At 38.5% G+C, this 710-nt stretch overlaps 1 non-coding gene across 1 annotated transcript; it reads left to right on the forward strand.

Annotated features, from left to right (window-relative positions):
- The first annotated feature begins 346 nt into the window (after positions 1-346).
- Positions 347-418, forward strand: LOC124906345 (small nucleolar RNA Z40). The gene has a single exon (XR_007096305.1). It is a non-coding gene; the product is annotated as a small nucleolar RNA Z40 (small nucleolar RNA).
- Positions 419-710: the final 292 nt, after the last annotated feature.

Consider the following 710-nt stretch of genomic DNA (forward strand, 5'->3'; position numbering starts at 1 on the left):
AGGGTATTGGCTTTCAAAGCCACTGACGAGCTGGAGAGAGCAGAATGGGATTAGGGAAAGTTAAAATATATAACACTCACTCTTTTTACTGAGATTCGGCTGTCTTTGTTTCTTTAAATACATATCTTTCAGATGGTTTCAAACATATAGCAATTTTCAGTGTTCTAAAAATGTTAATTTTGACAGTTTTTGTTAGTGTTCTTATTGTTTTTATGAAAAAGCAGATTTCAAATGTCTTTGCTCCACCATTCCAGATCATTCTTTTATTTTTGCAGTTTTTGTTATCAAAGTTCACTAAATTTCTTGGCCCAAAAATATAGGCAAGTAGCAACTAAATATAGAGTAAAAATGTTATGATATGAGCAAAATGTTCAACTATTCCAAATGGGCTGAGTGAAAATAGGTTTTCTGAGCATCCATTTACATTGGCCAGGCATAGTGGCTCATGCCTATAATTCCAGCATTTGGGAGGCTGAGGCAGGAGGATCATTAAAGGACTAGAGTTAAAGACAAGCCTGGGCAACATGGTGAGACCCTATCTCTAAAAAAAATTTAAAAATTAGCTGGCCATGGTGAAATGTACCTGTAATTGTAGCTACTCAGGAGGCTGAAGTGGGAGGATTGCTTAAGCCCGGGAGTTTGCAGCTGCAGTGAGCTGTTATTGCACCACTGCACTCCAGCCTGGGCAACAGAGCAAGACCCCATCTCTA

This window comes from Homo sapiens, chromosome 3 (genome assembly GCF_000001405.40).
Source record: "Homo sapiens chromosome 3, GRCh38.p14 Primary Assembly".
Lineage (NCBI taxonomy): Eukaryota > Metazoa > Chordata > Mammalia > Primates > Hominidae > Homo > Homo sapiens.